General features: G+C 36.1%; 1 protein-coding gene across 10 annotated transcripts in view; it reads left to right on the top strand.

The window, feature by feature from the left end:
- SLC13A1 (solute carrier family 13 member 1) overlaps nt 1-12,466 on the top strand; it is an 86,441-nt gene that overhangs the window by 43,251 nt on the left and 30,724 nt on the right. For 6 of the 10 annotated variants that reach the window (XM_047420754.1, XM_011516516.4, XM_011516515.4 and 3 more), the window contains 2 exons: nt 8,148-8,315; nt 9,411-9,562. In XM_047420754.1, the coding sequence (XP_047276710.1) occupies nt 8,148-8,315; nt 9,411-9,562 (320 nt within the window). 10 annotated transcript variants of the gene reach the window in all.

Genomic DNA, 12,466 nt, shown 5'->3' with positions numbered 1-12,466 from the left:
TATTGTGATCAGAGCTTCGTCTAATAAAGAATCCATTATAAAAAAAATTTCTTTACAGAAATAATCTTCTTATAGACATTTTAAACCATTAGAACACTGTAGGAAGGCTGGTTTAATTAAATAACATAATCTGTTATTAACTTAACTGAGGATCTTTAAACTCAACATGCAGACCAAAAGGACAGGTTCCCACTGTCTCAATTCCTCTGTGCACTATGGAACTTCCACTCTCCTGTTCCCTTTTTAGTTACATCATCTACCAACATATGGACCACGAAAGCACCAAGGTCAAAAGTGGGCATTAATTATTAGTAAATATTTATTTCTTTAATTTTGAAATGTAAAAAGATAAATATTGCATCTTCCATTAAGATGGCAGGTTAAATAGGCCCATTTGTTACCACTTTTCTAAGTCTTCATTAAAACAAGAACAAATAGACTTTCAAATATAATCCAAATTATATAAACATCAAGAGAAGACATGACAGCAAAATCATTTTGGAAGCTGGAAAGTAAAAAGATGAGTGGAAAATAACCCCATTATCCCCAGTAATCCCATGGAAGCTGAATCCTAAATCGGTAATGAAAAAAGCCAATAAACAATTCAATTTCCATAGCAGCAGGCTTCAACATTTTTAAAATGCTGAAAAGCAGGAGGAAGAAAAAATTGCTTGTGAAGCAGTTAAATCTTCTACTTTCTTCCTCAAATCCACATGGATGCAACAGCTTCTAATCCACCAAACAGAAATATGATCTTCAGACAAGGTAAAACGGGATAAGGAGAACCAGATCCAGTTCTGGGCTGGGGGAGGGTGTCACAAGGAAAACAGGGGTACTGAGCGATAGCTTACAAGTTGAAAATGGAGAACCCGGCCTTCTACCTACACTGGTCCAGGAGCCAAGTCTATGCCTTTCGGGTGTCAGCAGGCAGAAGGCCAGATGATGCTTCCTTGGAGAACACAATCAGCGTTAAGAGAGATGAAAACATTGACCTTAGAATTTTCTCAAAAAAAGGCCAAGTCAGATGACATTACAGTGAAGCTTACAGGCAACAACAAATCCCAAAATACGAGTGCAGAGCTTCTACACAAATATTCACCGCCTGAAATGTGAGCAGACAACCAAAAATTCCTGGATATCTGATGAAAGCCTCAATTATGAAAGAGAGATTGCCAAATAAATAAAAAGAAAAAAGAGCAATTTGCGGGAAACAGAGACTATGCAAGAAGAAGAGACTATAAAAAAGAAAATATCATTAATATAATCAGAGAGGCAAACAAATATATTACTTGTATTTATGAAATACAAATACAAATAGTATTCTATAAAAGAGAATCAAGAAGGCAAAAATACAAAATATGTAAATATAAAATAAAGTATAAATGTAAAATATAGAGATATAAAAGCATAAATGGAAAATTCAGTAGACAAAACAGAAAGAAACAGAATAAACAGGAAATAAGAGGAGTTTCCAAAAAAGAATAGGAAAAAAGAGAAGAGTATATTAAAAATTCAAGAAAGTTTCTACAATGGAAGAGTACAAGTTTTATGATTAAAGGACTCACTAAATGTCATCAAAATGAATGAAGCAGACCCACACAGGGCAGGTCTGTTTTAAAATCTTTGAGTTTTCAGAATACTATAAGATGACCCTAAAAGCTCTCAAAAAGGAAGAAACACTAATTCCTTACAAAGGATCAAAAATATGAATGACTGAATACTTCTCCCCAGCAGCACTACTCAGAGACAGCAGAAAAACTGCCTTCAAAATTCTAAGTAACATTTATTTCCAACCTAGAGTCAATATCCAGTCAGACTTTTGATGAAATAAGAGGGAAGACTTAAGTCTAGATAGCTCTTTGCAGTTCTAGAGAAAAAATAACTAGGTTTGGGACAGGAAAGGAGGCCCTGAAAGAGATGTCATCAAGACAATAAAATTGGCAGAATATTGATGTGAATTAGGTATCCTATCACTTGATTGTTCTGAGAGAATGTTTAAGCAACCAGGGAATATTTGGGACTGATTCAGTAGTAGGTACTTTAAAAAATAAGCAAGTAAAAGAAGGAAAAGACATATTCTAACTTACAGAAGGGGCAGGAAAAGTAATGTATATCATATTTCTAGCTGTTAATAGAGCTCTAGGCAACATATTGAAAATGTGAAGTCTGTACTATAAGCAACATTATGACAGAGCCATAATTGGAGGATGATACAAAGTATACGTATTCAGTGAAGGAAGCTGTGAAAGAAATCTGCAATCGTTGCCACCAGGTGGCAATAGTGAGTTACATCTGGACCTGCAGGATTTCTGTTGTGACAGGTCCACTGTGATGATGTCATTGGATTCTGCATTCGGTCATGTCCTCATAGGAAATTTTTCAGTTACTTGGAAGAAGATGTGGAAGGCATACTCCACATGTATGGTAGACAGAAGGGATTGAATAAAAACACAATAGGTTACCATTGTGGTAAAAGCAGTATGAAATGGAACTCAAATGTAGTTTTAAAAATTCATAGAAGTAAAGTATTCTGGAAGGCAAGTTGGTACAGGGGAAATTCACTGAGAGAGAACTCACAGACATGGATTCTGCTTTCAAGTCTGTAGTAATCAGCTGGGTCACACTTGAGACTCATTTTGCACTTCTGAAATATTAGGTCTTTACACCATATAATCTCTAACTACCTGTCTGCCCTAATAGTCTATAATTCCTTTATATGTTAAAAAAACTTATTTCTGGCAATAAAAGTTACAAAAAGTATCAAGAAGGTGGAAGATACCACTAAGCTCATGATTAAGAAATAACTATCCTTAATATTTTGATATATTTTACTTCAGCCACATATATATATGTTTCATTTCAGGCACATGTGTATATGTAGAAATATTTTTTGTTTTAAAATTTTACATCATTTTGTACTTTTCACTTCACATAAATATCCTTATATAACACAAGTACTTTTCCATTCATAATATACCTGTGACAATGTCCTGTGGCCATAGGCTGAAACTACTATCTAGGCAGAAGACTAAAGATTAATCTGCTGTGATACCTGCCCCCTTTGTATAATTTCTGTACCACTAGTTGGCTCATTTAGTGGCTCATATCAGGCTTTCTTAAGAGCCCTATTTTTCAGCTCAGTGCCCTCTGCTACTGTCCCTCTAGTCCTCATGCTTTACCCTTTACTTCAGTATCATCTCTTCTGTGTTCAGCCCAGCGAACACAAGCACTCGGTAAAAATAATGATAAATCTGAATGCATGGAGCTCATGTTTACTGGCTAGATTAAAAAAATGGTGCATTCACCATTCCACTTCAAAAACTCCTCCTCTTAACCTTTAATTTGCATTATGATATATTAGTGTTAGCATTTACTGTAGAATTTTTACCCTGAATTTTAATGCCTTTATAAATTGTTGATGATATTTGCATAAACATCAGCTCATGTGCAGTAGCAATAATGTATATTTTAAAGGTCCTTATTAATAAAAAATGTGTGGTTAATTCATAAGGCATAAAGCATGGCAAACATATTAACCTGTTTCTGTTTTGATTTTTTTGTTTTATATCATCCAGTGTCTTTTAATAATTCTATATATATGCATATATTTACAGTTAAGCTTTTATATGAAATCCAATTTTTTCTTTATTTATATTTTTGAAAGTTTTAAGGTGGCAAAGGGAAATCATATAAACATTGCATATTTTAAGTTTCCATTCTTATTATCAATTTAATAATATTCAAATTATGCATCACTTTCTGGTTTGTGTTTGAAGTCTTTCCTATAGTAAACTATTTAATGTTAAGCCTCAAATTTCAATTGCCACTTTGTATGACTCATAAGAATTTTTAAACTTATTTCCCTATCTTATTTACATACCACTTATTTTGTGTCAAATTTCAATGGAATGTTTTATCATATAGAAAATACAAATGATTTCTATGTATAAAATATAAGGGAAAGGGAGACGTTTGTAAATTAGTTTATTTTGGGTGAAGCGTAGAGTCCTTTGTGGGCTGACCTTAAAGTTAATTAGAAAGTAAAAGGTAAATTACAGTCCAATGCACCTGACTCTGCCATGCTAAATGCCATTTTCATATCTATGATGACTTTTAGTGAGTAGTAATTTTTTCCTTATCACAACTTTTCAAAAAGATATTTTAATAATGTCTCAAATAGCATGTTTATCTGTATGGAAGATGGCATTTCTTCTGTTCATCCTGGAGAAGGGAGAACCCTTGTACAATGTTACTAGCAATGTAAATTAGTGCAACCATTATGAAAAACAATATAGAGATTCCTTAAAAAATTAGAAAAAAAATAGAAGTACCATGTGATCCAGCAAACTCACTTCTGGATATATGTACCCCCAAAATGAAATCAGTATGTCAAAGATATATCTGCTTCCCCATATTCATTGCAGCATTATTCACAATAGCCAAGATATGGGAACAACTTAAGTGTCCCTTGATAGATGATGAATGGATAAAGAAAATGTGGCCTGAGTTACTGTAACAATCCTTTTATGGTTGTGCTTGCATTAATTCTTGCCTATTTCAGAACTCTCCTATACACAGCAGCCTAAAAAATATGTACAAATGTATTTAAGAAATACACAAACACAAGAAGACAAAAGATAATAAGTGTTTATATATTCCTTAACTACATTTAGATTCTTGTAATCTTTTAGATTACAAAATCTTTCAGATTTTGTAGGCTGCAGTCTGTAGAATGAGTCTGTAACAGGCAAGAGTTGATGCAAGAAGATCTATAAACACACTATTTCATTAACCTAGGCCAGAGATAATGTTGACTGAGACCAGGGTGACAACAGTGGAGGTGGAGAAAATTGAACAGAGTCCAGGCATATTTCAGTAGATACAATTGACAGAATTTGACGGGATGAGGAAGATAATGTTTTTGAGGAGGACAAGCAATACATTACAGCAAAGTGGCTGAGAGTATGAGCTCTAAAGCAAGACTGCATGGTTTCAAAACCCAAGTCTGTCATTTTCAGGCTCTGGGACCTCGAACAATTCACTTAACTTCTCTATGTCTTTTATTTATAAAATGACATCATAATTTTACCCACCTCATTGTATTGTAAGACGTAAATGAATTAAAACATTTAATTGATTTTAACTTGGACAGTGCTTATTACATGCTAAGGACACTATAAGTGTTTGTTGTTATAGTGATGGTGATGACATCAGCTTATATAAGTGATCCTGACAAACTAGGTTTGACAAAAGAAGTAATAGCCTTGGTCCTGAACATTTTCAGATTGGAGTTTTATTGAAGATATTATACATATACATATATATATATATATACACACACACACACACACACATATATTCAAATATATATATATAGTTTTGTTTTGTTTTGAGACGGGTCTTGCTCTATTGCTCAGGCTGGAGTGTGGAGTGCAGTGATGCAATCTTGACTCACTGCAACCTCTGCCTCCCAGGTTCAAGAAATTCTCCTTCCTCAGCCTCCCAAGTAGTGGGGATTACAGGTGCCTGCAACCAAGCATGGTTAATTTTTGTATTTTTAGTAGAGACAGGGTTTCACCATGTTGGCCAGGCTGGTCTAGAATTCCTGACCTCAAGTGATCCACCTGCCTCGGCTTCCCAAAGTGCTGAGATTCCAGGAATGAGCCACTGTGCCTGGCCCTCAAATTATGTTGAACAGGCAATTGGATACATGGGTCTAGATGGAGGAGCCTGGCTGAAGACAGAAGTTTGGTGATCTGGCATAAAAATAGTCATTAAATCAATAAAAATAAGATATTTTTAAAGGAGAAACATTAGAGTGAGGAGAGACAAGGGCCTGTGACAGCTTAAAGAAATTCCAGTTTTAAGGAAGGATGGAAGGCAAAATAACTGGCAAGGGAGACAGAAAAACAGGCAGAGATAGAAAAATCCAAAGAGTGAGATATCACAGAAACCCAAAGCAGAGTTTTTTCAGTAAAAAGAAGAGATAAACTCTTTTAGATGCTTGCTAAGGGGACTACAAAGTTGAGATTGAAAGGTTCCTATTGAACTTAGCACTGAGGGGATTACTGATAATCACAGGAAGTGCATTGTGGGTGGAATGAGGAGACAAGCAAGATGGAAGTGTCTAAGAAAATGGAGTCAGTGAATGTAAACAACTCTTTCGAGTAGTTTGGCTGTGAAAATGGAGTTAGGACAATAGTTTACTTGAAAGGAGGGTTAAGAAGTCTTTCTTGTTTTTCTTCTGTAAGGATGGCTCAAAAATAATTAAATGTTGATGAAAATTCCAATAGTCTGTAGTGGAAGGTTTCTGAGAAAATCTGAGAGACTGTGGTCCAGAAACAAGAAGTTGGAGGAGAAACATTGACTCTATTAATTATGTAGAGAACAGGAAGATGGGGCAAATGCAAGTAGGTTTCTACATTTCACAGTGATACCATTGTCTGCTGGCTTCTATTTTCTCTGTGAAGTAGGAGGCAAAGCTACTTGTAAAGACTGAGAAGGACCATTAAGAGGGACGTATAGAGATAATAAAGAAGGTTTTATATTTCCTTGTGGAAAGAGGTAGAGTAATTTGGTTATGCAAACACAGTAGGGTAGAGGAGCAACATCATTACAGCACTGGATGTTTGTGATCATGAATGATCCCATCTGCTCTACTGTGCATGTAATTTTTAACAACAGTAGCTGGCTACTCAGAAGCAGACATGACATGGAGAGAGAGAATGGTTGGGTTTATAAATCAGTTGGAATTTTCATAAAGAACTACCATTCAAGAAAAGACAAGAAAGAGAGTTTGGAGTTTTTTTAAGAAAATTTATTGAAATGGTGTACCATGGAATCTAAACTGAATAAGGATGGAAGTAAAGAAAGGAGAGGACCATAACTGGGCATAACTACATACTTTATTGACTTAGATTTGCCAGTGCAGTTGAAGGACTGTAGAGATAGAATTAATTCAACAGCAAAGTTGGAAGAAGAAACTGTGATAACTGTGCCAATTTCTTGATAACCAGGATGGTAAAATGATACTCTTTCTACCCCTGAGTAACTATAATATCAAGCACACACTTAGGTATTTTTGCATTTCATTTCCACAGTACTTGCAAGTGAGGTGACCAAAAAACAGCTTTAGACTCTTAAACTTAGTGTTTAAAATGAGAAGGCTGAGAGACAGTCTGCTTATGGAGAAAGTTGGAGTATTTCCCCAGTGCCCCAACCCCCTGCCACTTGTACCATCACAGTCGAAAGAAGGGAAGAGTCTCCTACTTAACAAGGTGAGATAGACGTTAAGAAACTACTACTTGGAGAACTTGCTATCTACCACCTTAGACTTAGAAAAGGTCAACGGATTAGTGTTTGACACATTCTTGAAAAATTATAAAGTAAAAACTCGTGGCTGAATTTCTTTACCTAATCAAGTTTCAGCTGCACTGTCACTGACAACAGGACAGAGGTGACTGTTTCCCTTGGACCATATGTAGGAAACATGTGGGAGGAGTGTCATGTGGGATCATTTGAAAGGCAACTTCCTCCAGAAGGGATTTTTGACAGCATAAGTGGATTTCAACATAAAGAGACCAGGTAGACTATCACATGCAGACACCATGAGTGTGTCATACGTCACCAGGCAGAAGATGTGTGTTACCTACATAGAAAGAACAACAATCTGATGTTCTTATTTGGATAATAGGAGTCTCATAAAATCTCATAAAATTGCCCACCAGATGGAGTCATTTCAAAAATTCACCATGCCTGGAAAGTACTAATACCATTTTAAAATTAATACACAGTCAAATAAGACTTCTCCTAATCCTTACCACTCCTCTCCTGATCCTGTTCTTCTCTTGACATTCCAAATGTTGAAGGTTTAAAAACTGAGTGTAGCAAGTGGTGAGAAGAATTGGAACTAGGAGAGAAAGAGAAAGTCAAACTCACAAACCTCCTTCCAGCTATGGGTTTTCAAGCAGGCCTGATCTAGGGGATAAGAGAATGCTTAAGTTTAAAATTTGGGATTTTTCTTATTAAATAGGGCACTGTTTAACTACTGAAATGAAGCTATTCTCCTGACTAAACATAACTGAAAAACCATTCATTAAATGAAATGACCGGAAAAGTTATTGGTTCTTCTTTGAATTTCGCCACAGGAAGAGGAAGAATCAAACCAACAAAGGGTGTTTACAGGGTCATGGGTGAGAAAAAGAATGAAGTTGCTTTTGGCTTACACCCTAGAAAGTCATCTCTTAAATAAAACACTTACATTTGGACTAGTGATTCCCCAAGTGAAACCATTTCAGGATGTGCCATTGTCCAAGGTATAACTATGGGGGTGGGGTGACTGAGGTGGAGAACTGAAAATCGTTGGAAATGAGATAAAAAATCTGTGAGGCCAGGATATTTGAAGGGCTATTCATGAACATAGTGTAGTCATTCAGTCACTGACAAGATTTGGACTAAGGAAGATGATTAAGTGCTGAGTGCAAATGTTATCTTAAATGACAGTGGGTGACCAGGAGATCAAAATATAATGGTCAAAGGAATGGGGAGAGAAAGAGATATCCAAGTTACATGATCCTTAAAAAAAATGGATTTATTTTTTGTGTGAGTGGAGGATTAATGTTCTGGAATAGACAGTGGGAGCAAAGAGGACACTGACTTATCTCTCAATGCTGAGGTATATGGTGTTGAAAACATTCCACTTCAGGAGTAATATCCCCTGGGAACCATCCATTAAGGTGTGTAGATGGGGAAACCCTTCTTAAAGAAGTTTAGGGACTTATTGAGTATGTACCACCAGTATCAACAGAAAAATAATGAAAAGCTTTGGGAGTAGTGGTGAGAAGGAAAGACATGGGGGAAGAGTTGGGTAAGAGACAAGAAAGAAGGATGAAGAAATGAATGAAATTGGGTTTTTAAAATATTTCAGTGGCTTCAGCTTAAATACTTTTATTGCTACATCTCTATTGATGGAAAGATAAATGCTATATTAGTCAGCTCATATCACCATAACAAAACACCACAGACTAAGTGGCTTAAACAATAAAAATTTATTTCTTGCAGTTCTGAAGATTGGATCAGGGTCTGGCAGGGTCAGTGTCTGGTGAGGGCTCTCTCCTGGCATTGCAGACAGATGCCTTCTTGTGGCTTTTTCCATAGCAGAGAGAGAGAGAGAGAGAGAGAGAGGAATCAAGCTCTCTCATGTGTCCTCTTATAATGACATAATCCTATCAGACCAGGGCCACATCCTCAAAGGAAGGTACAGTATCTTCCAAATGCCCCATTGCCAAATACAATCACATCAGGAGTTAGGGTTTCAACATATGAATTGGTGCGGGTGGTGGGACACAAATATTCAGTCCATAACAAATATAGAGCAGTTCTCATGGTAGTTTTTTGTTGTTGTTGAACAGAACTCAGGCATGAGAACCAAATATCGAACAAAGAAGGGCCACGTGACACGTAAACTTACGTGTTTGTGCATTGCCTACTCTTCTACCATTGGTGGACTGACAACAATCACTGGTACCTCCACCAACTTGATCTTTGCAGAGTATTTCAATACGTAAGTAACCTTATTGGATTGGTGATTTAACATAAGGGCAGCACAAAAATTATAAAAATTATTCTTACCTGATTCAGAGAATTCAAGTACAGAGATGTTATGTTAACTCTCCCTTGTTTCCCTTCAGGACATCTATAGATCTACAGACCTTCCTTTATACTGAGAATTAAATATTCAGGGAATACTGAATTAACTTGTGCCAACAGATTTCCCAGGTCAGCTCAGAGGGGATAACTCTTGGCTGACCACCCTTAACAAACAGGAAAAACATTTTTCATTGAAAATAATACCACAAATGGTAGTTAACTAAAGTGAAAAGGAATTATTTTCTTGGGACAATTTATGTAGGGTTTGGGGACCAACATGTGAACTTAAGTAATGAATGGTGAACAGAGGTATTAATTTTGGAAGGCTTGGCTTTGGAATTCAAAAAAGATTTGAAAGATTGAACAATTGTAATAAGTGTCAGTAATAAAGTATTCTACAAACAGATATATGACTGTTAATATGTTTGGAACTGTGATGACAATTCCATTGCAGAAATGGGAATCTGTGGATTCAACAGGTAGAACACTTGGGTTAAAAAATCCTCAATTTGCAGGTACTTACATTGTGAATTATTTTACTTACTTATTTATTTTTCTGAGACAGGGTCTCACTCTGCTGCCCAGGCTGGAGGACAGTGGTGCGATCTCAGCTCACTGCAACTTTTGCCAAGTGATTGTCGTGCCTCAGCCTCCCGAGTAGCTGGGATTACAGGCATGCACCGTAATACCCAGCTAATTTTTGTACTTTTAGTAGACACGGGGTTTTGCCATGTTGGCCAGGCTGGTCTCAAACTCCTGATCTCAAGTGATCCACCTGCCTTGGCCTCCCAAAGTGCTAGGATTATAGGCATGAGCCCCTGCACCCGGCCACATTATGAATTTAACAACAAAAAGGTCCATGATTCTCCCAAGACTTAATTTTTTCATATGTAAAATAGTCACAGTTGATAGGGTTATTGTGAGAATTCAATGAAGTAAACTATGTAAAAATATTTTGCGCTATGTAAGTATCATTGAAACAATAGTATGAAAGTCCATGGTGTCATATGTGCACTCAGACTGGTTCTACTAAAAGAACAGATAATAATCAGAATTTCAAGAAGACAGACACAATTGAGAAAGCCTAGGAACAGGATTTGGGTTCACAGAAAAATTAGAGTTTAGAGGCAGGAAAACTACTCTCTGTGAAGTAGATTCATAGACTCTATGAATTTTCTGAAATTATTTGCAAAATGTTGTGCATGCACGGATTCTCTAAGAAATACAAGACTCAAAGAATGTCAATCTCCATTCTAGAAAGAATGGGTGTTTGTGTTCAACGAACACTGGTATAGGAGTTTAGGATCAATATTACACAGACCTCCAAGAGTATTGTTTCTATGAATACACATCCATTATCTACACTCCAATTACTGACTTAGAAAACTTTAAAAGGTTTTTGGTTTATAAATGAGAGGCTTCTGAAACTCACAGTACCAGTGAGGATTTATCCAATGTATCCCCTAATTTAAGACAAGAAATGCACCTGACATCTTTTTGAAAATGACTTATATCCTTTCTCATGAATTCTCCAAGAGAAGGGATTCCACATCTTAGTTCCTGTCTGTGAATTTCTTTTTCTAATATCCAGACCGAATTCTTATGCTTCATCTTTGTTGATATTAGAGAACTGCTGGTTTCCATCATTCACATGAAATTAGTTGATACAGTCAAGTAATTCATATTACTCTGTAAGATTGCAATATGGTAAATACTATGGAAGAAATTTTGACACGGCAGAGTTTGGACTTAGACCTCAATTCAGATTTCAAGCTCACCATATATTAGCTTAACTTCTGTGACTATCAGTTTCCTTTTCTGTAAAATGGGGATGATACTAGAACTTACAACATTATTGAATTAATTAAATGCCATAATGCACATGTGGCTCTAGCAGAGGGTCTGGCACATAGTAACTTGTCAATAATGTTAGCTGTTGTTATTGCCACTGCTCTACTTTTGCCATGGCTGTTAAAAATCTCAGCCTGGATCATGAATGATAAATAGTTAATATTTTGAGGAAAATCCTCTGGAAGTACACACACACAAAATGGAAAAGTAGCTTTATCTCAGAGATAATCAAAACTGTCATCAGTCAAAAGGTCTATAATTGGTGTGCAATTATAGTATCTATAGTAGCATACTATGACACTTAATGCCCAAAATCTGTTCCAAGGTTATAAATTTCCAAGACTACATTCATTCTTTTGAAGCTATGTTCTGAGTATTTCATGGGTATTAAAGTTATTTGTTTTGCAGTGGGGCATAAGTTGCATATAACATGTAAGTTACTTGCAGTGACAATGACTCTTCCTAAGAGTCAACCTTGACGTGTAAATGTGCTTTAGGTCAAAGCACATCTCCGTGTTATGGGGCATCATTTCTACAATTGTTTTAAAGTGCCAAGAAAACATAAAGTTTGTACTCCAGCCTGCGGATGTTTTGTAATATATGTGGCATTTTCTCTTTTTACCTGGGAGCTAAAATTGAGGATGTAATGGTTTAATGAACAGAGGTTGTGTTTTAAACTCCTCCTGGGTTAAAAATCCAGTTTGACTACACAATCTGACTTTGAGAAATCCACTTAGCCCCCTAAGACTCAGTTTATTCCTGTGTAAAATAAAAATTTAATGCTTTTTTCACAGGATTTTTGATAAAATTAAAAGTGCTTAGCTCATCTGCTCATTTCTACCTAACCTCTAAAACTTACAGTGCCCCAAGAGAAGCACTTCAGTTTCTCTTCTAAATCTCCATTACTGCTTAAATGATCAGACCCATTTCTATGTTTGTAATACCACCTATGTGCTGATAACTACCA

This window comes from Homo sapiens, chromosome 7 (assembly GCF_000001405.40).
Source record: "Homo sapiens chromosome 7, GRCh38.p14 Primary Assembly".
Classification (NCBI taxonomy): Eukaryota; Metazoa; Chordata; class Mammalia; order Primates; family Hominidae; genus Homo; species Homo sapiens.
The sequence above is the reverse complement of the archived record's forward strand: the minus strand, read 5'-3'. Positions and strand labels throughout refer to the sequence as shown.